Source organism: Homo sapiens, chromosome 7, assembly GCF_000001405.40.
Source record: "Homo sapiens chromosome 7, GRCh38.p14 Primary Assembly".
Lineage (NCBI taxonomy): Eukaryota > Metazoa > Chordata > Mammalia > Primates > Hominidae > Homo > Homo sapiens.
This window is the reverse complement of record NC_000007.14, coordinates 118,455,379-118,482,017: the sequence shown is the minus strand read 5'-3', so window position 1 is coordinate 118,482,017 and position 26,639 is coordinate 118,455,379. Positions and strand designations below refer to the sequence as shown.

General features: G+C 34.5%; 1 long non-coding RNA gene across 1 annotated transcript; it reads right to left on the bottom strand.

Moving 5' to 3' along the window:
• Positions 1 to 1,281: 1,281 nt before the first annotated feature.
• On the bottom strand, positions 1,282 to 26,361 carry LOC105375472 (uncharacterized). The gene is made up of 4 exons (XR_001745344.2): positions 6,989 to 26,361; positions 5,994 to 6,101; positions 4,879 to 4,948; positions 1,282 to 1,570 (listed from the first exon to the last, which is right to left on the bottom strand). It is a non-coding gene; the product is annotated as an uncharacterized LOC105375472 (long non-coding RNA).
• Between the last annotated feature and the right edge of the window lie 278 nt (positions 26,362 to 26,639).

Below are 26,639 nucleotides of genomic sequence, written 5' to 3'. Positions count from 1 at the left end.
ACTGCACTCCAGCCTGGGTGATAGTGAGAGACTATGTCTCGAAAAAAAAAATCAGTTTTATGTATTCACAAAGATATGGTTGGGAATTAGAACTTATATTTAAAAGGGAAGTAATAAATTTTGGAAAGTTTGCAGCCTGATGATTCAACAGAAAAGAAAAAACAATTTTCTGAGGAGAAAGTCAAGCCAGCTACAGAAATGTCCATAAGTAACCAGCAGCCAAATGTTAATTGCCAAGACAATGGGGAAAATGTCTCCAGGGCATGTCAGGGACCTTCATGGCAGCCCCCCATCACTAGCTGGGAGGCCTATGAGAAAAAACTGGTTTCATGGGCCAGCCACAGGGCCTTTCTTCTTTGTGTAGTCTCAGACTTAGCGCCCCGCATTGATGCCCAGCCTTGGCCAAAAGGAGTCAACATAGAGCTCAGGGCATTGCAAACCCCAAGCCTTGGCAGCTTACACAGCTTACACAGAGTGTTGGGCCTGAGGGTGCACAAAAGTCAAGAATTGAAGTTTGGGTATCTCCCCCTAGATTTCAGAGGAGGAATGGAAACTCCTGGATGTCCAGGCAGAGGTGTGCTGCAGGGGTGGAGCCCTCATGGAGAACCTCTGCTAGGGCAGTATGGAAAGGAAATGTGGGGCAGGAACCCCCACACAGAGTCCCCACTGTGGAACTGTCAAGTGGAGCTGTGAGAAGAAGGCCACCATTCTCCAGACCCAAGAATGCTAAATCCACCAATAGCTTGTACTGTGTCCCTGGAAAAGCCACAGACACTTAACTCCAGCCCGTAAAAGCAGCCAGGAGGTGGGCTGTACCCTGCAAAGCCACAGGGGAGAGGCTGCCCAAGACCAATGGATATATATATTTATATATATTTACATTATTTATATATATATTTATATATATATGTATTTATATATGTATTTATGTATATTTTTTGTATTTATATATCTATATTTATATATATTTATATATATGTCACATATTCTGACATAGATTTAATTGGAGTAACTGAAGGATAAGTTAGAAATAAAAGGGCAAAAAATACATGAAAAAGAAAAAATGTATGGCTCAAAATGCCCAAAATAGTGAAATATATCAAATCAAGGCTACAAGAAGCCCAAAGACCATAAGTAAGATGAATAACACACACATTCACAAACAGACATATTTTTAAATTGCTAACCCCCCTCCCCCACCAAAAAAATCCAAATTTTAAAGGTAGCCAGAGAAGAAAAAGGACATTGGTATGAATTCATGGCATGAATGTTTTTGTCCTCTCTAAAATTCATGTGTTGAAAACCTAATTCCCAATGCAACAGTGTTGGAAGGTGAGGCTTAATGGAAGGTGTTTAAATTATGTAGTTTCCACCACTATAAATAGATAAAAGCCTTTAATAAAAAGGGCTTACAGGAGTGGATTTGTTGTCTTCTGCTCTCCTGCCATATGAAGACACAGAGTTCATCTCGTTTGCCCTTCTTTCTTCTGTCATGTGAGGATGCAACAAGAAGGGCCTCACCAGATGCCAGTTGCTGGCACATTGATCCTAGACTTCCAAGCCTCCACAACTATGAGAAAACAAATCTCCATTCTTTATAAATTATTCAGTCTGTGGCATTCTGTTATAGCAGCACAAAACAAACTAAGACAGACACATTACATACAGAAAAACAAAGATAAAAAATATAGCTGGACATGATGGCTCACATTCGTAATCCAAGCATTTGGAGAGGCTGAGGCAGGAGGATCAAGTAAGCCCCGGAGTTTGAGACCAGTTTGAGCAAACTGTCTGTAGAGACCCTGTCCCTATCAAAAGTGAAAAAAATTTAAATAAATTATGCAGGTGTGATGGTGTATGCCTGTGGTCCCAGCTACTCAGGAGCCTGAGGTGGAAGAATCCCTTGAGCCTAGGAGGTTAAGGCTGCAGTGAGTCATGACCATGCCACTGCACTCCAACCTGGGTGACAGAGCAAGACTTTGTCAAAAAAAAAGAAAAGAAAGAAAGAAAGAAAGAGAAAGAAAAAAAGAAAGAAAGGAGAAAAATGGGAGAGAGAATTATAGACCTACATTGCATATATAACGCATATTTCTTCAGGAAATATGCATTCAGAAGCCAATGAATTGACTTGTTTAAAGTACCGAATGGAAAAAAAAAACCTGTCAACCCAGAATTCTCTAACAAGTAGAAATAGCTTTACAAAATGAAATTAACACAAACACTTTTTCTGACAAAAACTGAGAAAATTCATTGCCAGTAGGAACACAATACAAGAAATGCTAAAGGGAGATCTTCAGGCAGAAGGAATATGAATGCAGACAGAAATTTGAATCTACACAAAGAAATTGTGAGCTCTAGAAATAGTAAAAGTGAAACACAAATAATAACCTATTTTTAAAGTTTTAAATTGTTTGTTTCCTGTTGTATACCTTGTTCTTTTACTATATTTATGGGAAGTGTTATCTCTTAATACCTAACATTTTTAGTTTATATTTTATTTTCCTTGTAACCATGATTTTATTTTGTTTTTAAAACAAAGCCATTAGCATCTTGATTGTACTATGTAAACTTTATCATGGGAAAGAAAAACCTTCCTGTAAGTAGATCTAAATGATTAAATATTTCTATATGAATTCTAATGATTGTAGTTGATAATTACTCAATTTCGGGGTAAAGCCTATCAAACAGTAAAGGAGTAATGATTTTACATGTAAAAATTATGTTCATATAAGAATAATGGCAAAAATGAAGCACAAGGTGAAATGTTTTAATGTTTGGTGTTGTTACGTTAAAAGACTTGCTTATTAATACTCAGCAGCATGAAGCAGTTTTAACAGATGGGTGAAAAATCTCTGTCAACAGTGTTATAACCTTGCCATTATCTGAAATGCAGCCAATAAAAATGCACTTCGTTTGTGTGGCTGAAAGTCTGTCAGTTTATTCCTGTTCTTGAACAAAAGCTCTGTAAATGACATTTTGGCATTTGTATTTTACATCAAATATGGCCATAGAGAAATAAACCTTTGATGAACTACTTCCATATGTATCTCATTAAAAATTCATAAAAGATTTTATTTGCCAAATAAAAAGCAAAATGCTATTTTCCAGAATCAAATCAAAAATGATAGCAATAAAATGAATTTTCTCCAATTACAATTATTATGTTCACACTAAATACATAGCAAATTATCCATCCTCCCATATCCTCCCACAAAGTTTAACAAAATATTAGAGAAGCATCAGAAATTAGGACCTAAGGAGATTATTATTGCATCATGCACCCGAAAATATAGCCAAACATAACCTATAAACATTTCTCTCATTGTATGACATCTATAAATAAATAAAAAAATTTAAAGAAACAAAAATGGTATATAAATAGTATTCCAGTGTCTCAATTTAAGGAGTGGAAGATGTCTGAAGTATCAATTCACTTATTCAATCCAGTTCCTAATACTAAAGAGAAGAATACATCAGAAGCGTGTGTGTTATACCTTGTTCTTCTTTCCCTGTCACTTGTTACAAGGAAAGCTTGGCTTGACTCCCTTGCTTTATCCACAAAGCCCAGGTTCTATCACCAGGACTGTGTGAAGTAATCTCTCAGCAAATGGCTTTGCTGCTTCGGTGCCATCCCCCCAAGCACAGGACACATGAAAATATGAGGCACTCTTGTCCTGTGGTTTAGCTTCTGTAGTGCTCTCATTTACCCTCCTCCTCTAAGTCTTGCTCTCTCCTCAGAGTCCTATCAATCGGCTCATCCAGCTCATCCAGCCCACCCTTCGGTAACCCACAATGAGTTCAGGCTTTTAGCAAGAGCCTGGAGAGATAGTGTCATCTAATATTTTATCTGGGGCCAGCAAATACTAAGAAACTAGAAAAAGTTTGAATTGGGGCAAAGGTAACATATTGAAAACAAAAACAATTTATTATCCCAATATTACACTCTGCTATGTATGACTATCAAATACATAATGGATAATCAGGTCACCCAAAAAAAATTCGGGCTGGGCCTTCAAAAGTACATAATATCTGCATAAGACTAGTAATAGAAGGTGTTATTCCATGCATCAGGAATCTAAAAGAAACAAAAGGAAATGAAAACAAGGGCAGTGAGAATAATGACTCCATCGTAGTTTTTATTCTATTAGAAGGAAAGCAGAGCTAAGAGTGGAAGTGTCTGAAATAGATATGGAAGGGTTAAATCATTCATTTCCTTATAAGTAAACTAGAGAAGATTTTACTTGATACAAGAAGAAAAAGAAAACATATGACTCCCCCCACAACAGAGGAAAATTAAAATGTTTTAGGAAGATTTGAAAAATAAAAATACCATGTAGAATGAATGTGTGAAGTAGAGAGAAGACATAAGGAGACTTCTTATGCATTCTTGTTTAATCTTTACTCTGTGTGAGAATACTCTTCTTAAAGTATTATACCCTCTTCTCATATTGTCTCAGAAAGGGAGTTCATATTGTAACCCACTGCCATGGTTATATATTTATGCTGAAGCTTTCCATATACAATTTCCCACATTGTGAAATAAATTACCTGTTTTACAAATAATAATTTCTCTTTCAGAACTCAAATTACAATGTTCTAAAACTTTGTAAACCATACAACTAATTTAACAAATCAGAAGCGAAAGATATATTCATTCTTTCTTGTATATAAAATATATATCTCATTTTTTACACTGAAATTCAAATTCCCTTTACCAGTTATTTTCCTAGATCCAAACTCATCATCTGTTCTGCGATACTAGGGCTAGGACTTGGCAAACCATACTCTTGCTTTGCCAATTAGCTCCCTATTAGATTCTGACAACAAGGAATATTTAAAAAGAGACCAAAAGGCTGGAAGAATCAAAAAGATACATACCCCTTGCTATTTCATTTCAAATCCTTTTTGCTTCCTGTTCCTGTTGTTGCTTCAGGAAAGCTTCTTCGCCCTGGAAATAGTTTCAGTGGCAGCATTTGATAGTGGTTTGCAGTTTTTCTAATACTCCTAAAATAAGGCTCATGACATTCCCTCAGAGACCCCAGCTAAACCCAGCCAGTATCTCTTCCTCAGATACATGAATTTCATAGATGGAGAGACTCATTCATGCTTCTAAGTTTTAATAATTTTAAACTCTTCCTTTTGTCACTAAGCCCTAAGGTTGTCGAATACTTCTTGCTGTTATTACCTATGTGTTACTTTGGTGGTTGCTTTAGCCTTTTTTATTTTTTCAAGCTGTAGTTAACAATTCTTTATGTTAAATTCTTTCTGTTAAAATAACTGATGTGGTGTATATCTCCTTATTGGACCTCCCTGGCTGAAAAAGATATTGGTACCAGGAGCGAGGACTCAAAAATAGAAACCTTCAAAGACGGAAGTTTGAAATTGGCTTGGTTATGTCTCTAGTAGAGAACACAGTACTGAGCTCCTTACAAGTGGCAAATGGATGGAGCTAATCCACAACATGTAGTGCCATCATGATTAATCTCATTACTGCCTCTGTTTTATGTTGATGAATCAAGTTCCTTGGGGCACCAAGCGACTGCTTCTCTCAACTGTTAACTGTAGTCAGGATGACTCCAAGGGGTGCACTGGGTTATTTACAGAAACAAAACAAGCTCAGCCCTGTCACAGCTCAAATTAGAGTCAGATAACTGTAGAAATTCTATAACAGTCCTAAAATAAACCCTTATTCTTTATAGCTACAGGCCTGGTCTTAATTAAAATCAGACATAAATTTTAATTGAGTGGGTTGCAAAAGTATAACAGAAGTCAAATTTGCAGCCTCATCAATTCTCTCATGTAAACGTTAGGATATTGTTTGGGAAAGAATGGGATCCTCATAATTGAAAAGATTTCATTGGATTGGATACAAATGAAGCTGAGAATCTTCAACCCCAAGTCACCCCGAACCTCCCTTGCCAGTGGAAGTAGTCTCCTCTTTTGTTTCTGAGACCAGTCTTTCCCTACTGGAAGATCCTATACTATAACCTCACCTTGGGGCTCACAAATTGATGCTTATTCTCAAGGTCTTCTTGTTGTTATTCTGTCCGCAATGAGAATCATACCCCAGCATGATCCAGAAAGACAAATACCAAGTCTGACTAGGGTAGAAATAGATTATATATCAAAATAATTGCAACAGTTTTGTACATTTATGTTGGCAGAAATCTGGAATGTAATTTAGGGTTACATCTATATGTAATTAGAACTAAACCCAAAACTTAATTCTGTAATTTATAATAAATTCTACAAATACTATATATCATTTATAGTATATACCAATAAATGGTACCAGTGACTTGTGTAGTGCTGAGTTCTTTCATATATTATCTCATTTAATTTGCCCCTACCCTTAGTAAGACTCTAACTATTATCCCCATTTTATAGATAAGGCTAGAGAGATTCAACTAACTAAATTCAGACTGTTAAAAAAAGCGCAGAATATGAATATCCTTTGGCAAGTGTTATTTATATTTCTAAAATATAGTATTCTTCTTGATTTAAGAAAATGCTTTATTTTCTGGTATGAAAAATCATGTTAATAATCTTGCCTTAGTTCAGAATCCTTCATTCTTATATTCAAGATAAACAATTTATAGACATTTTAGCAAAGGTAAGACAGAAATCAATATTTTTAGCATTTTCTTTTTTAAATAAAATGTCCCGTTTTCTTTTATAATTTTGTTAACTTTTATGTTTTTACCTTAATTTTATGTTTTTACCTTATCCCATCTCATCTTACAATGAATTCTCCCCAAAATGTCATGTTGTATTGACTAGGTGTCACTACCTGAAAACTTTGATGTTTGTTGAGTTCATCCCTGGTCATTTCTTATGCACTGTTGGGTATTAGGCAGAATTGAGCAGACTCTACAATGGAGAGGTAGGTGTGTACACCACCAGGCCACAAGGCAGAAGTATTGTCTCTATTTCCTCCCTTCTTCTAAAAATATTCAGTATTTCATAGACAAGAAAACAGTACATGCACCTGATTGAGCCTGCGCATTGGAGTCTGGCCGACTTGAAGCTGAGTGAATCGAGGCCCATCACTGGAACACTCTGGGCTTTATTTTCCTCATCTGTGAAAAAAGAACAATAATGTTTGCTCCTGGAATTACTGTGAGGACTTTATGGGATTAAAGCAAAGCCTTTAGTTAACATGGTGCTGCCTGATACATGCACCCAGTGTTATTAATAGGTGTGATGGTTAATATTGAGTTGTCAACTTGATTGGATTGAAGGATGCAAAATATTGTTCCTGGGTGTGTCTATGAGGGTGTTGCCAAAGGAGATTAACATTTGAGTCAGTGGACTAGGAGAGGCAGACCCACCTTCAATCTGGGTGGGCACCATCTAATCAGCTGCCAGTGTGGCTAGAATAAAGCAGGCAGAAGAATGTGGAAGGACTTGAGTTTCTGAGTCTTCAGGCTTTTACCTTTCTCCCATGCTGGATGCTTCCCGCCCTCAAACATCAGACTCCAGGTTCTTCAGCTTTTGGATTCTTGGACTTACACCAGTGGTTTGCCAGGAGCTTTCAAGCCTTCAGCCACAAACTGAAGGCTGCACTGTTGGCTTCCCTACTTTTGAGTTTTTTGGACTTGGACTGGCTTTCTTGCTCCTCAGCTTGCAGGTGGTCTATTGTGGGACTTCACCTTGGATTGTGTGAGTCAGCACTCCTTTATAAACTCCCCTTCATATACACATCTATCCTATTACTTCTGCACCTTTAGAAAACCCTGACTAATACAATAGGCTATGCCCTGGAATTAAAATGAGTACTCCATCTACTATATAGTAACAAAATGACTTTGTGTGTGTGTGAGCTGTGTGTGTTTGTATAAGAGAGAGAGAAAAACAGAATCTGAGAGAAGAAAAGGACAAAACAAGAGGAAGGGAAGAAAATTTGTGTTTATGGAAAGATGTTTTGGGAAAAGAGGATTAACATGAGTTTTCTGTTAAAGTAAAATATTTAACTTTAGTTACAGAATGCCATAATAACATCAAGTCTCTGATGACACAGGAAAAATAAAGAACAAATTTAAGGCAATTATTACATAATTATGTTTCAAATTTTTTGCTATGAGTAAGCAAGGAATTTATAATCTGAAATAGAAAATTAATGTATTAAATTGTTACTTTCAAGTTTATTCTGCCTAAATAATTAGAGCTAAATAAAACATTTGAATCTTAAAAATTGCATAGATTACTCACATTTAATTTACTGAAAATTCGGGTCAATTCAAAAATATTCTGTAATTAAGTGTTTACAGAAAATATTTCTGTTCTGGCATGTTTAAGGAAACGTGTAGTAAACACAATTGGCCAAGGTTGCATAACAGACATTATATAAATTCATTTTTTATTAGAAATATTCAATGTTTATTTTAAATCATAAAATGTAGTTCAATCATCTCGCTACACATTTGCAGATGCTTTCTTGTTAAACTAGGAAACTCAATGTGCTGGTGAGCCTGCTGATGGAGGTTAGGAGTAGTCCTGGCAAAGTTGCCTTGGCCTCTTTCCCGGAGGCACTTTTGGAAGGAGATGACTTTTGCCTCCCACGTTTTCTGTCCAATCCACCATCAGGCATCGGTACAGCAGATGGGTGCTGCCACGTACCTGCAGTCAGTGCTACCTCCACTTCTTCATGAACTTAGTTACCTGTTCTACTTCCTTGTAACTCCTTCTCATAAATATTTATTGATGCCCTGATATGTGCAAGAGAGAACCAAGGTGAGCATAGATACAAATCCTTATCCTGAGAGCTTTACTCACCTTTTACATCCCAGTCTTGTTTCTGACATTTTCCTGGTCAAGTTACTTCATGTCTGGCACAGATTGGATTCCTTTGTACATATTACTCTCACTTCTATATTATATTTTTATGCTATATGCGCTTTTTTATGGCATATGGGAGGCAAAATCATCTCCTTCCAAAAGTGCCACCAGGAAAGAGGTCAAGGCAACTGTACTAACCTCCATCAGGTTGTTCTGTTTTATCAGCTGTCCCAAATCTCCATGCTTAATTACACTTTCAGAACTTACTTCTTCATAACTTATATACAGCTTATTATGGAATAGGGGTTTCTTAGTCATTCCAATCAAACTGAGGAACTTTTTGTTTGTATGTTTTGACACACATCTGCCCTGTTGACCCTAAGAGTGCCTGATTCTATAGGTCCATATGGTGTCCTGCTTTTATGTTTTCTGTCCAGGTTTGTTAATATGTCTGACTCATCACTTAATCGCTGAGTCCAAAGTTACCTCTGTGTCATGAGAATACAGTTGTCTCTCAGTATCCATGAGAGATTCGTTCCAGAACCCCTGCAGATACCAACATTTCTGGATGCTCAAGTCCCTTTTATAAAATGGTGTCGTGCTTGCATATGACCTATACACATCCTCCTGAATACTTCAGATCATCACTAGGTTACTTATAACTGCTAATGCAATGCCCAACATTGCTTCATCACATGAATTCAATGTCATACTCAGCACACAGCAAATTCAAGTTCTGTTTTTTGGAATTTTGTAAAATTTTTTTCCAAAATATTTTTGATCAGCAATTGGCAGAATCCATGGATGCGGCAATCTCAGATGTAAAGAGAAGACTGTATGTCCTTTTCTTGAATTTTGAGAGTCAAATGCCCTGATGTGATTTAGGGAATAATTTGGCATATTTTGGTTTTGGCACTGAAAGGTAGGAGACGGGGTGGTGAGGAGGACACGATGTGCAAACGATAGCAAAATAAAGTTCTAATATTTAGCTAGGGAATGTAATTGATGTAGCCTGACTAGGCATATTCAATATATATATAACACTTCATAGGTCAACAATTGGTGGATATGCTCTGTCTATGCTCTAAAGATAGAATCACAGAGCTCTGTAGCTACTTCCTTAAGGGCTTCCTCAGCTACAGCATTGGCAGAAGTCACGTCCTTCCCAGGGCAGCTTACATGGAGTGACTAAATGAAGCAGGGATATAAAGGCCTGGCCATCCCAACCAAACCAGGACTCTGGGATGAGAAATCTCACTTTTGAGCTTCCCACTAAGTTGATTGAGGTTTGCTGAGCCTGCACAACTCTTGAACTTCTTTCTCTGCACAATCCTGCTTCCTCCTCTTCCCTTCACAGGTTTTGGTTCATAATAAACATCTTTCAACACGTGCCTTCAAAGAATCTAACTTGTGACGAATGAAGCAAACAGGAGTATATAAGCAGACCAAAAAAAAAGAAAAAAAAGAATATGTGAAATCTTCATCTTGTAATGTTAAACTTCCAGTTCTGTTTAGACATCAGTGTTGTTAGCACATAGTTCGTTAGAATATAGATTATGAAGATCTCGGTCTCATCAAGTAACCGTGCTTACAAGAGCTGGAACCAATAAACAATTATAATACAATAAGCCATAAACATCTGGCCTATTAAAACTTTATAAATTAAATTTCTGTTGCAAAAAATGGATAAACTATAGATTCAGTGGACTCCCCTTTTTCTGCTTAAATCTGATGAAAGCCAGCATTTGTTTTTTTCTCAAGTAAGATGAGAAACTTTGTCTAAAGTGAAGTAGTCACAACATCTACATCTACCTGTCTTTCAAAATCCCCTTTCTTCTCTTTCAGGTGAAGCAGTGCTCCTCCTAGCCAAGAATCATGCATCAGAACCCTTCTTTCTTCTACATCCTCTGGGACTTCATTCTATCAATTTGCTCTTCTTTTTTTTTGTCTTCAACCTCCATCTTTTTGTGATGATAATTAAGTACTCACATGTACACACATTCAAAAACACAGAAATAAGGTGCTTTTGTTTTGTGGAGACACTTTTTCCTTTTCCAATTCTAACAGGTATGCATGTTTGAACTGCTTTATTTCAAAAGAATAAAACAAGATTTTCAAATATAATTAAGCATATTAAAAAAGCGTAAAATAATACTTTTAATAAAATTCATATCATATTTAGGTACAATAAACAGTATTTGCCAAATATGTTAATGTATTTTTCATCTCATTTTTCTATTTTATGTCTGTAATTTAACTATTGTTAGTACTCTAGCACATATATGCATTTTATATATTTTTTATTAATAGTGGTGCACAATTGAAATTTTGGTAACTATTGAATTAAAGAAAATTGGTTTCATATAATATCTTCCTGCAATATTTGAATACATATAAAAATCCTTACCAAAAGCTAAGACATAAATCTATGTACCTCTATTTTTAATCCAAAGTCATTTTATAAGTTGAGAAAGTAATTGAAAATGTATTTTTCCTGTAAAGAAATGCACTAAGCATTTTTTTCATATAAAATTTAATGAGTCAATTGCTAAGCAAATATTACCATTGGGGGTGAAGGACATATGAGTTCTATCTGTATTATTTCTTATAACTGCTTATGTATCTACAATATCTCAAAATAAAAAGTTAAAATTAATGAGTCAAAAGTTATCAGGGTTGAATTTTTGATTCCTACAGGTTGCATGAATAATATTATCAGATAATATACACAAGATCAGAGTTGCAAGATAATATTAACTTTATCTAAATGTTCATGAATAGTTTCAGATATATCTTTTGAAACTGACTATTTTAATGTACATGTATTGTAATACAAAGGTAGATTAAAAGTTATTCTAAAAATTGAGTGTACAGAGTAGAATGTTCAAAATCTCTCTCACCAAGCATTATTCATAATTCCAGTCCTTTTCTCAGAAAAAGCCACTGTTACTCATTATATTTGTTTTATTCAGTACGAGTGTTTTCAACATATTTTTTGGTCACTACAATAAAGATTAATATGCTTAACAGCTATATCACATTTAACATCTGCTTGAATTGGATGTGCCATAAATCACTTAACCATTTTTCTATTAATAAAATTACATTAATATCCAATAGTTTATTATTACAGTAAAAGATGCAATTAAACATTTCTACATATCTTTTTGTCTAAATGTAAATATATTTCCATAGGAAATCAAACTGTTGAATTTTGAATATTTACATTTAAGTTCTGAGGGCTCTCAAATTGTCCTCCACAACATATTAATAGAACTTTATGAAAGTATAATTTTCCCCACATACTGTTAAATGTAATATTAACAAATGAAGAGTGATAACATGGTGGGCAAACTATTAGATATTTTGGTTATTTTAATTTCATTTTACTGATTACTAAAGGTATTTGGCATTGTTCATATGCTCATAGGCCATTTGAGTTACTTCTTCTGTGAATTGCTTGTGCAATTCCTCTACTTAATAATCTATTGTCTTGCTTGTGGTAGTTCTTTTTTCTGTGTACATTAATCATTTTATAATGATATGTTTCAAACATTTCTCTTAGTTTTTTCCTGTACATTGTTAAAATATTTAGAGATGACCTGAAAACATTTGTTTCAAGCTCTCTGAATTTTATTTTTTATTGTTTAAAAAATAATATAAATCATAACTGTGTTTTAATTCAGTTTTTTGTCTGTGTGTAAATTTTTACTTGGAAATTTAATGAATGCGGTTTTTTTGTAGTGAAAGAAAATTATAGTTTTATTTTTGTTTTTCAGTTGGATGAGCAAATTGGTTCATTATTATTTTGTGAATAGTGAATCATATTTCAATGATTTTAAATGTCAAATGTATACACACTAAAGTCTGCTATCATCATAGGTCTATAATTATCTGGCTATGCTTTCACTAAAAATACCTTTTAGTCACCATATCTTTAAAATGTGTTTTTACATATTATAAGCAACAATACTCATATTTGTTGAATTTTCTAGGTATAAAATCACATAGCAATTTTATCTATTACTAAGCAATATTAAATCTGTTACTTTGTTACTGTTACTTCAAGTACCCATAGAACCATTCTGTTTTTTATTTTTAGTACACTATTCAATAAATTACATGAAATATTCAGCAATTTCTCATATAATAGGCTTTGTATTGGATGATTTTTGCTTGACTGGAGACTAATGTAAGTATTCTGAAGATGTTTAAGATGAGCTAGGTTATGATGTTTGGGAAGTTAGATGTATTAAATGCATTTTCAGTTCAAAATATTTTCAGCTTACAATGAGTTTATCAGAATGCAATCCACTCATAAGTAAAGGAGCATTTGCATTTCTTTTTATTGCTAACTTGAATGGAAATATTGATAGTATTTCATCTTTAAGAATTGTTTGGTGGACCTCATGAAATATTTAAGGATGAAGCTCAAACTCTCTAGTAACCAGGTAAATACAAATTAAGAACAAATCATACTATTGCACATCTATTGACATTTAGTGACACTTAATGAAATCAGTGAAAAATCAATACTAAATGGTTAGTATATTGTAGAGAAACAGAGAGTTTCATACACAAATGTGGGAAGTGTTCATTAGTCCAGCAGTTTTGGAAAGCAATTTATCGATACCTAGAAGAACTGAGGAAAGACATGGTCCTTTGATTATTATGTTATTAGTGTAGCGAATTCTATAAATATACATGGTTTTACATTGGTTCATAATTTCTGAAAACAATTGTTCATGAATGTCATCAATGCTAAATGAAATGGAAACAATAGGTAACAAATGGGAAAAGTGTGCTATATTTAGACAAGGAAATATAATGTACTATATTTACACAAGGAAGTATAACATATTATATTTACATAAGAAATTGTAATGAACTATATGGTCATTTTAGAAGTTATATGTTTTACCATAGATTCATTGCAAAAATGTGACTTAAAAGTATCAAGTTGAAGAATGATATAGCATAATGACAGTTACATTAAGTTTTAAAATAATTCAAAAAGCCCATAATAAAATTTGTGTTAAAACTCAGCATAGGAGAGTAACAAGCATAGAGGCAGAGGATACACTCCAATTTTGGGATAATGGCTTTCTCTAATGAAAGATGCCTCACAGGGTGGGAAATAGTAGGTTCATAGGTTAAGGGCTTTAAACTGGAATTCATCTTTAAACATTTTGATCTGAAGGAAATATCTTAAGGTTTGCTATTATGAATGTTGGAAACAGATATTTTCTCTAATTGTTGGTGCTGGAAATTTTTCATTAAAATTGTATTTTACTTTGCTTTTAGAACAGGAAACAAAATATTACTTATGGAGAGGATATTTCTTCTTAGGTTTAACTTTTCTTATGTTTAACAAAATTTTTTAAGACATACAGGAAGAGAGAGATACAATGCAATATGTTGCGGTATCATCAGACAGATATAATACAATATATTTTTTAACTGCAAAAATTAAATTATTAAATTAAAATTAAATCATTAAAGCAACTATGGCAGTGTATGACAGCCTATTTTAAGACTGATTTAAGCGATAGTGATTGGCATGGAGTAAAGGGTGGAAGATGGAAAAAAAAAAAAACATACCAATGACTACTTTAATCAACTTCTTTGTTTTTCAGAGAACCAAACTAAGGAGCATAGTGCTCACATGACTTCCTAAGGTCATACTACTTTCTATTCTGGGCTCTTTTCTCAGCACTGTCGTGTGTTCAATTTCCTGTGCATTCCCAAATTTTTTGAATTAGTCTTAAGATGTTCCCTTATTAACATAATCAATTCCATGAGCATTTTTCTAAACATTTAACTTACCTACATAGAAATGTAATATAAGGTTTGCTATTTGCAGTAATAACAATCTATTTCTCCCATGTTTTGAAATCTTTATACAAAATACAAGAGTCTGATTATTTTGTTTTTGTTTTTGTTTTGTTTTGTTTTCATGGGTATAAGTATTCTATTTTCAACATACCTTTAAACATATTGATTTCTGTCTGGATTGCTTTGTGGACACTAATTTCTTATGTGCAATGTTCTTTATGTAAAACTATAATTTTGTATCATTGAAAGGTATTGAAATGTTCATAATGACCCATGAATCAATACCAAATATTTATTTTAACCTTCCTCTCCCTTGTTGTATCTAACTCAACTGTAATTAAGCCCAACGTTTTCTTTCAGTCTCTCCCCAAAGAACTCCTTCATTTTCTGTGTTACTGCAACATGATTTCCATGTCTGCTGCTCTGCCAACATCACCTTGTCCCTCAGGAAAGGGAGCTGTGCACAAAGGCATAGTCTTTAAAGAAGAAAGTAGAGCTGAAATATCTCCATGACCACTACTCAATATTGCTCCAGAGCTCTGTAGAATACTAATGTTCACTCAGAGGAGTAATGAATAAACAAATACAATTATATATATTTAAACTATTGTACTATTGTTTTTTCTATAAAAATGATTTGAAAACAGTCCAGGTAATCTTGGATTTGAATGAAATCTATCATGACTTCCAGTTATCAGTTACAAAACTGGTCAATTAAATTAATGAAAAGTTTTTAGTATAGCCAAGTTGTTCATGTTTTTAGAATGGAAAATACATTTTAGTTTCTTTTATTTTAAATTGTTGCTTAGCAACATTATTTTTAGCCTTGCAATAAATGTAACAATAGAAATTAGTGTCAGTTATAGTATTATTTCTTAGGCTATTAAATACATGCCAGCTATTAAAATACAACTCAAGGTGGTCATTAATTTCTTTAGCAATCAAAGAAATAACATTTTAGCAGCATTTAGTGATGCCATGGGTAGTTGATATTATTCAAGTGTTGGCTTCTATTCATATTTAAATCGTGAGAGTTGGAGGAAAAGTTCACATTAGTAAACTATTGATAAAATGCACATTTTTCTATGTGATTTTTGTGTATATTTCTCTGTGTGTGTGTGTGTGTGTGTGTATGAAAGAGACAGAGACAGAGATAAATTTCTGTCTTTGATTATGAAAGGTTTTCCACTATTCCCTACAACAACACTCAACTCTCAGTTGCTTTTCTATCTGATACATGGATTGTTTGAACAGTTTTGGAGAGGTGCATATCAAACTTCCTTCATCAAAATCAAAGCACAAGTCAGTAATACAATTAACCTTGGAAGAGAAATCAAGATGAAATAAATGTTTTATTTTGGCTGCTAGGGAATAGTAAACCAGATATCAATAATTCCTTGATTTAGAGTATCACACTCTTTTAATTTGCATGCTATTTGTTTTGTCTGTGGTTATTTTGAAATATTCCATATAAATTGTTGGATAATAATATATTTGGGAAGCTTGGTATATATTGTATTATATACACAACTGGTTAATTTCCTGCAGTGTAATAAATTGTATTTTGGGGAGTTATTATTTATACTGGAAATAAATTATTTTCATCTATACCAGACAACCTCTAAAAGTTAACATGTAACATCAAAATTCTGGGAAATTTAATCAATGTTAAATAGTAAGACACAAAAGTGCCCATGCCTGGATCAAGAGTGAGTAAATACAAGCTTCAGGCTGAAACCAGCCTGATTTCTGTTTTACTATAACAAATAAAGTTTTATTGGGAAAGGAACTTGCTATTTGGCTCTTTACAGAAAATATTTGTCAGCTTCTGCCCTTGATAAATACTTGGATGGCCTTCATACATATATGACATTGAAAGAACGTGCCATTCACCTTTAGCTGAAATTTTCAAATTTTTGATAATTTTTATAACAAAATTAATTTTAACTGCACAAGTAGTTAGCATTTGAAATATCTTAATTACATATCCACTTTTGAATGTGGCAAATTTCTTTATAGGGAGTATTCAAAGTCCATGTCAAAGGATTCAGCAGTTAGCATATGGAACCTTAAAAATAATTTTTATAAACTGAGTGATGTTTAAGAAATGTGGTTTTTAGAAACACATTCTAGGCTCTAGTGCCCTAATATGAATGAGATCTGTGAGTCTGACAATCCCAACAGCCTAAAATTCACAAAGCAGAAATACAGGCTTGAAGTTCTAGATCTCCCCACCTAATAGAAACCTATCCCCTGATTCTGGTGGCTATGTATTCTAAAGGTGAGGACATTTCTCACTATTCCAGCTCACTTATATGGTTTTCTCTTCAGAATTTGTTATTTACATAAAGATAGTGGAAGAACATTTTGTAAATATTCTGAAATTATTTCATTCAGGTCTGTTTCTCTAAACAGAATGGGAGCTCCTTGAGTAAGATCTTGTGTGTGTAACTTCTTTTATATTCAGGGGATATGTTCAATAATCCTAACTTATTCCCAAGGACAGTACAGGGCAAACAGGTACTGATCAGTTAATAAATGTGATAGATAGATAGATAGATAGATAGATAGATAGATAGATAGATAGATAGATAGATAGATGTAGTATTAAAAATATTTAAAATATTAACACCTAGGACAAGAGAAGTTATGCTAATCTTTAAGAATAAAAATTACTTAAATCTATTGTCCTATACAACACATCTGGCTTTTAACAAGCATTTATTAGGCATACTGAAAGGTAAGTAAACAACAGAGTCTGAAAAGAACAAAGAAATTACTAGAACTCAATTTGGATGTGACCCAGGCATATGAATTATCCACAAGAAGTTTCACATAACTATGAATGACATGTTAAAGTTTCTATTGGAAAACATTCACAGCACACAAGATCAGAAAGATAATTTCAGGAGAGAGATGAAAATTATAAAAAAGAATTAATGAAAATGCTAGAAGTCAAAAACATTATAACAGAAATGAAGAATGCTGAGAAAAGTAGTGGTAAATAGAAAAAAAAGTACAAACACAGTAATCACACTTCCAAGAATTGCCTGTAGACAATATGGAATGACATAACATAATCAAAATTGTAATTCAGCAGGAAAATAAAGGGAGAAAGTGGAAGAAGAAATACTTGAATAAATGATCACGAAAGCAAACATTATTTTTTTCAAAATTAGTGGCAGACGCTAAACCCCAAATCCAATAATGTGAGAGGACACCAAACAGGATGAACGTAATAAATAATTTACCAAGGTCAGAGTATTCAAGACCAATACACAGTAAGTCAATTATATTCCTATATATGAGAAATGCTCACAGTGAAATTTGAAATCAAACACAAATACTACTTATAACACCCCCCCAAAATGGGGCATTTAGGTATAAACCTAAACAAAATATGTGCATGATATTTATGCTGAATGTTACAAATTCTGATGAAAGAAATCAAAGACCTCCGTAGACAGAGATGTATACCATATCAATTCTCCCCAATTTGGTCTATAAATTCAACACAATTCAACAAAAATTACTTAAAACTGTACAAGAAAAATCTAAGAGTTGGACAGGTGACACATCTGAGTACCAAACAAATACCTGCTTATCTCATTACATAACAGCCGTTCTATCTCAACCTGCAGATCAGGTCCAATTGCCCTTGCTAGAATAGGTAGTCTACTTTTTACCTGATGACTTTTTGTAGAGAGAAAACAAAAGTTCCTGGGCAGCAGATTTAGCTTAAAGTTTACTGACTTTTGTTTCCTCTGGTAGAAGTGTTCTCTTTTCTGGAAAGAGAACCATTAAATCAACAGAGACTCAAGTTGAGGGAAAAATTCCCCATGGGGGTCATTGGGTGAGGGTAATGGGAGCCATATCTGTTTCTAACCCTTGCTATATTTTATACAATGAGCTTGCAGACTGTATAATGGTTATTAATTTAGAGTGGTTTCATGTCAGATGACAACTCATCTTCATGGGCATCATCTCAAAACTGGCACCTGCACTGCAACTTCGTCAGGCTGTTCTTCCACTGCTTTATTGCTGTATGCTGCTAATTTCTGGGTGATTCCATATATGGTATATGATAGGACCAACACATCCCATTCTCATGCATTAATTTCTGCAACTTCTGTGCTATTAAGATGTGGTGTATTTTAATATATTGTGCTGTGTTGGTGGATCGAACATTTTGTGAGTTCATGTGCATGTGCCCTATGCACAGGAAATGCAAAGACATGCAGTGAAAAGAGTTGGTTATTGTCAGAATGAATTAATTACTACCTTGTGTAGAGTAGAAAGGATATAGTACCAATTTGCTACTATGTGGTTTGTTTCTCTTGTTAATAATGTTATATCAGCAACTTATCATTGATTTCTATTGATGTCAGGTTAGATATTTGGCAGTAACAGTAGTTAGATTAATCTTGGTAAATGGGAGCCTGTAGTTGTGACTCCAGGCATAGGCTCCATCCCCTGCCACTACGACTACCATATTCAAGCACCTATTGTGTAATCTATGCAATTTTGGAGGAGGAAAAGTTTATATTCTCTTTAAAGCCCTAGATAAAAAGACTTGGGATTCATAGAACTGGCTTCATTTCAAGCTCTGATCCTTATCTGGTTTATGTTGTTCTCTCTCTCTCTCTCTCTCTCTCTCTCTCTCTCTCTGTGTGTGTGTGTGTGTGTGTGTGTGTGTGTGTGTGTGTGTGTGTGTTTGCCATATATTAGGAACAGAACCCTTAGTTTCATTAAGCCAGGGTCACGGTCACATGCCAGCACTTATGGCTTGTTACAACAAAAAGTGCCAATCTATTAGGTTGGTGCAAATGTAATTGAGGTTTTTGCAATTTAAATGTAATGGCAAAAACAGCAATTGCTTTTGCACCAACCTAATACAAACTATATGAGAATACTACTCTAATGTATTTGTTGCATGCTCTACTTGAGCCTACATGAGTGTGTTCCTCCTATAACTAGGTATATTATTGCTTATATGATACATATAATTTTAGCAGTTTTCAGTTGACTTTTTAAAGCATGCAAAATATGTGACTATATCACTTGTAAAATTTGTAAGTTTTTTTTGTGCTAATAGTTAGGCCTCTTCGTTTTTCTGTCTAAATTGCATTATTTACAGCTTTTGAAATAATGTTAAATGGTAATGATGCCAGCAGAAGTTTTTTCATTTAAAATTAATTTTTTTCCTATTTAAATGTGGAAGTCTTACCCATTCATTCTTTGTTTCAGCCTGTTACTTTGAGATAATTTTTTACAGAAAAATTATAGATACATTAAAGAGAGTTTTCATAACCCATCCTCAACTTCCCTAATACTTTTAGTTCTGTGAGTTTCCACAGTACATTCCAGTATATTCTCCTCTCCTTTTTAGCTGTTTCCTATTTTAGGCAAACATAAAACAATTTTTGTAAACAAGGAAAATAGCATCAATACAGTAATATTAACTCATTGATGACATCATTCAACATCTTGCACTTGGCCTGCATATGACTGTTCCTCCTCAGACAGGATTGACTCTCCAAACCCCTGTTGAATTTAGTTGTCCTGTCTCCTTTGTCTTTTCTAATATTTGACAGTTCTTCAGTCTTCTTTTGCTTTCAGGGCTGTGTGAAGTCTGCTCAGGCTGATAAAACAAAATACCATAGACTGGATAGCTTAACCAATTGACACTTACCTCTCAGTTCTGGAGGCTAGGAAGTCCAAGATCAAGGTGCCAGGCAATTTGGTTCCTAGTAAGAGCTCTCCTTCTGGCTTGCCGCTGCCTGTCTCCTCACTGTGTCATTACATGGTGAAGAGGGAGAGCTGTAATCTCTTTTCCTCTTCTTAGAAGGACACTAGGCCAGGCATAGTGGCTCACACCTGTAATCTCGCACTTTGGGAGGCCAAGGAGTGCAGATCATGAGGTCAAGAGATTGAGACTATCGTGGCCAACATGGTGAAACCCTGTCTCTACTAAAAATACAAAAACTAGCTGGGCGTGGTGGCACGCACCTGTAGTCCCAACTACTCAGGAGGATGAGGCAGGAGAATCGCTTGAACTCAGGAGGCGGAGGTTGCAGTGAACCGAAATTGCTCCACTGCACTCCAGCCGAGGCGACAGAGTGAGACTCCATCTCAAAAAAAAAAAAAAAAAATGAAGGACACTAACTCCATTCGGGGATTATGCCCTCATGACCTCATCTAAACCTAATTTCCTCACAAAGGCCCCATCTCCCAATAACTTACACTGGTGGGGAGGGCTTCGATATATAAATTTGGAGGGGAAGGACACAAATTTTCAGTCCATTACAAGGACCTTGACACTTTTGAAGGTCACTGGCCAGCTATTTTGTAAAACGTCCTCAATTTGAATTTGTAAAATTTTTTCTTATTTTTATGCAGTTACATGGTTTTAGCAGGAATAGTGATATGAGCCTTATCTTATTATTCCATTTAGAACCTTGAAATGTGACTATCAAATGTTTCTGTTTTTTAACAGAGCATCAGAGATTAAAGGTAACTATGGGCTGTGGACCAAGAGAATTAAGGCCAGCACACAGCTATTAAATATATATTTTAGGCCCATTAACCATAGCTTCAAGTAGATACTGGTGGATCTTGACCAGAACGAATGCTTATTCTCAACATGGATTTGCATAGCTGGCAAGTGAGACAAATGCCTCAAACTCTGTTAGAGGCCTATAAAATAAAATGTTATTTTATTTTGTACCCCCTGCTTTTCAGCTGATCAAGCAATCCATTTTACTGGCGATTCAGTAAAACAAGAGGGATAATAAGAGACTGAAGACATAGTTTGCATGATTAAGTGAACTTGTATTAAAATTTAATACGTATGGAAATAAATGTCAGTCACCATTAGACATCTTGCTGAAATATTCTGGGCTGTGGGAAGGCAGGAAATAAGGATAGGAGGTAACACAAGAATTTATATAATTTACATAAATATCATGCCTACTTCCTCCAATTTTTATTTTCCTCTGTCAAATATTATAGTGCTGAGAGCAAGCCTGCATTATGTTTTCTAGAAGAAGAATCCATTCATAAATATGACACCATGACAATACATCTGGATATCCCTGTCTGAATCCCTAAAATAAGGATAGGCTGGGTCATTCCTATCCTCACCTTTCTAATCTGGGATTATTGATCCCTGACTCTTTTCTACCTAGTGGATAAAACAACCCTGTATGTTTGTCTGTATGAAGCCTACTTCATATGACAGAGAATGGACAAAGGGGAAGCAGTGACTCCACTCATAGGGTGTCTAGCTCTGTGGATCAGTTTTCTGGTTGAGCTAGTGGGTAAGGTCTAAGGGAAAATTAAGAACAGAGAAATAGATAGGAAACATTCCTGACAGAGCTGATAAATGAAAAATGCCAAAATAAGCTAATGTAACACTGATAACCCATGAGAAGTTCCTCATTTCCTATTATAGGTGAATTCTAAACATGTAGAATGTATTCCCACCAATCACACTCAGAATTGTTTCACTTAGAAAGGACTGCCAGGAAAAATACTTCCTTGTATTATACAATCTTCAGAGGCTTCTGCATAGAATGGAAAGTACAACAATGTGGAGTTTTGGCCCTACACTCACTTTTAAATCAAAATATTCTCATTCCTTACATCAAACTTCTGTATCAGATATCGTTTGAAAAATATGATTCTTCTGATTTTTTTTAAAAGCTCTTAAACCTGAAATAGCAGATAGTAGCATTTAATTAGCTGGCCACTAAAATGGAATTCAATTGAAAAGAATTCTACGTCTCAAAATTGTATGAGATATCAGGGCTTACTTGTTTGTATGTGTCTGTGTGTTTATGTGCACGCACATGAACACACAGATGCATGTGTTTCTCAAGTGAGCAAAATTCAGTACCTCTGGAAAGAAAAATACACAAGAAAGGAAATCCAGCTTAAAATAACCTGAATCTATATGTCTTTACAAAAGAAAATCAACAAAATGAGTTAAATGTAGTCGGCAATGAGTTTGCTGTTTAATGATATCAGGAAATGAGCCAAATGCTTGATATTGTTCAGTTGTGGAAAGCATTTCAGATGAAATTCAGCTGAATGAGTGTCAAAGTCATATCATCTTCAGTCTAATGTGTCATAGGGAGAAAAAAAATACGATATATGCATCATTACCAAACCAACTTAAAGTTGTTATCTTTTCACAAGATACAAAAGCCAGAAAAATAAAATAATGATGTTTCCTGGACAGGGAGTGATAAATCATTTCTTTTATTATAGAGTCTAGTGTTGTTTCTGAATCTTTAAAATAAGGTAAGTATTCTTCAGCTACACATGGAGAAATAGCCTAAAACTCTCTAAGACATGCTGGAGAAAAAAAGCCATTGAGAAATGAAGTAAAATGTATTAAAAAATAATAATTTCTTCCTGGAAAAATACAAAAGATACTGTTTTTATAATAGATTTTAAAAGGTAGAAAGTTAATACAGTAATTTAGAAGACAAATATTTGAAAAATGTGGCCAGCCTATATAAAGAGAGAAAATTTTAGTAAAAGAAATTTAAATAAATTGAAATCTCAAAGGAGAGCTATCTTGATTTCACATCAGAATTAACAATTGGAATGGATTTCAGAAAACACAAAACAAGTTACTCTCTAGGAATATACTGAATGACAAGTGGGCAAGTTAAGTCCCAGAGGAAATTAGTGGGCAAAATTTATTTGAAGAAGTAATTATCTAAAGTAAGAAACCCAATAAGATTTTCAAACACTGAAATGAAAAATTTCCCTTGTAAAGCTCTTTAACAGTGGGACAAATAAATTTCTCTATATTCTGGCCTTTTTTTAAAAGCAGTTTCTTTTCTCACCCTGTCCAGTAAAATTATAAATAAAATCCATCAAACCTGAAATCTGTCAAATGGTAAATTGCTTAAAACGTATTGGGCAAGAAGTTTCAAAGGCTAAAGAGAAAAAGATATTATGTTTTTCTGTTTAATTTACCTTGTCTTGATGACCTTCCACAAGTTCACATTTTAAACAAATTATTGGTTTTGATAAACATAATGACAAACTGACTGATTTTTTATTCTGACACAGATAGATATAATTGACTAACATGTTTAGTCAATGTTAAATTTAAATGGAGTAATTTATCCATTGTATACTTGGAGTCTTGTTTTCACAACAAAAAATAATTACGATTTTGCACTTCATACCCATTATATTTTAGAAGGTATAAGCATAGTACCTCAAAGAAACTAAAAAATATATAGTTTAAATTTCATACTTTAATAAATGTATTTTAATAAGAGATCAAGCTCAGAGCAGGGATGTCCCTTATAGCTCATTGGGTACTACTGGTGTGGAATACCATTTGTGTTCTTAGCTATGTCTTTTCCATGTCTCTACATCTCCCTGGACAGCATCTGCCTTCATGGCTGTGAGCCCTGGTAAAAGTATCTTTCTTTGATCCTTATAGCCCAAGGGAAGATAGTAACATCTTCCTGTTGCTATTCTTTGGATTGCTTCATGGCCCCTGTGTGGCTTTTTAGTTCTTCCTACAGGCTAACTAGTTCTGAGATTTACATGCTCTCCATTTTACTACATAGTATGGGCTCTGTTCTCCAGACTGAAGGGCATGGGACACTAACACGTCACAAAGTAATTACTGAACATCACATACAGCAAAGTAGAATAACTGATGTTTACAATGGTGACTTTGAGAAGGCACGTCAAGGTAGATTCAGTATATTATTATCCCTCTTTGACTGTTTCATTAGATCAATCAACGTTAGGCCATCCTGGAAGCTCACTCAACCCATGTTATGGGACCAATACTCACCACAGTTAAGATCAATGAAAGATACTCAACCTGAGTAATTCTCTAACCCAGTATTTGGACTATGGTCACACCTCGAGGGTTTTCTCAAACCTGTTGGCATAATTTCAGATGCCACTAATCTGACATTTTCTGACGCATTAACTTCTAAAGGCTTACCTGCCTTTCTCCTGTCTATACTGATACGTTGGTATTATACTACCATTATGGTTTATGATAACTGCATTTTAATTATTATTCCATCCCTGTTTAATTGCTTTTCTGTTAGGTTCATTCTTTTCTGGAATTACATTCCTCTCCTAGATCACCGACATCCAGGCTATCTGTCACTGCTTTTACTCCTTCCGTAGGCACACCTGCATTTAACCCTGAATACCTGCATAGATAACCAGGCCTGACCTTCAGTCCGGATCATTTGGCTGTTTCCAAACCCCAGTTGTGAAAGAAGCACATATTGTTTTGTATTTCCATGAAAAAAAACATTTAAATTAAAAAATAACTTAGCTGGACACTTGATGATGCAGACAGATATGAACATAGATATTGCCTCACAGGCTTGCCAAGCTACCTTCAGAAACTCCTAGAATTTAATAGATTTATGGGATGGGTTTTATCATTTTTTAAACATTTTTCTTTAAGATAATGCTATTCATCTGTACTAGTCTGTTTTCATGCTGCTGATAAAGACATATCCAAGACTGGGCAATTTACAAAACAAAGAGGTTTAATCGACTTACAGTTCCACATGGTTGGGGAGGCCTCACAATCACAGTGGAAGGTAAGGCAGAGCAAGTCACCTCTTAACATGGATGGCGGCAGGCAAAGAGAGAGCTTGTGCAGGGAAACTCCCATTTTTAAAACCATCAGATCTCATGAGACTCATTCACTATCACAAGAACAGCTCAAGAAAGGCCTGTCCCCATAGTTCAATCACCTCCCACTAGGTCCTTTCCACAACACATGGGAGTTACAATTCAAGATGAGATTTGGGTGGGGACACAGCTAAACCATATTATCATCCCAGATAAATGATTTTAAAAACTTGTTTGATACTCCCAAAACAAAGTTCCAGTTAACACTGATAATTTGTTTTAATGTAAGCTTACTTATAAGATTCAAAACCCATATTGTAATCAACTTTATATTCCAAAGCCAGAAATATTTATTTATTAATTAAACATTTTCTAAGTGTTTGATATATGACAGTCTGGGAAAATAAACCATGACTTAAGCCATTAAAACAGGTAGTCTAATGTAATACATGTAACATGATAAGGATACAGAATGTCATAATAACATAATTTATTTAGGTAAATCTGCTCCATCTCCCACATTGTCTCTTTTGTATGATTTTAACCTGAAAAGGTCATTAAAATAGAATTTTTTTTTACAGACACATATTTTGTATTTGTGAGAGAAGCTAGAACTACCATCTCTTTAATATTTTACTAGGAAATTCAAAAATATGACCCAAATTTAACTGTTTATTCTTACCGTCTATCTTATTTACATGATTCCTTTGCAATAATCAAAATGATCACCTTTTGCATCCTAAAAAAGACTGGACCTTTTTTATCTTTGTCTCTCTATAAATATTATTTGTTCATGGTAGAAACATCTTTATATATCCAAATTCTACCCACCATTCTTAAATGGTAAAGCCCCAGTTAAAGTCTTTTTCCATTAAAGTTCTTTATATTATTTTTGCCCACAACTGAACTCATAATATGTATTCTCTTTTATTTCTCTTGTGTAACACTGCTATATCCCTCATTATAATACATAAACTATTATAATCTTTTGCATCATCTTTCTATCAAAATAAGCTTCTTTTTATACAGTTTCTATAATAAGCTGTTAACTATAATACTTTGTTTGTTTGTTTGAGACAGTGGCTTCCTCTGTTAACAAGGCTGGAGTACAGTGTCATGATAACAGCTCACTGCAACCTCAACCTCCCGGGCTCAAGTAATTCTCTCACCTTAGCCTTTCAAGTAGCTGGGACTACAGGCCTGCATCACCACACCAGACTAATTTTTTATTTTTTGTAGAGATGGGGTCTCATTATACTGCTCCAGCTGGGCTCAAACGCCTGAGCTCAAGCGAGCCTCCCACCTTGGCTGCCTAAAGGGCTGGTATTATAGGTATGAGGATTAGAGGTGTGAGCCCTGACACCCGGCCTGTTAACTATGATAAA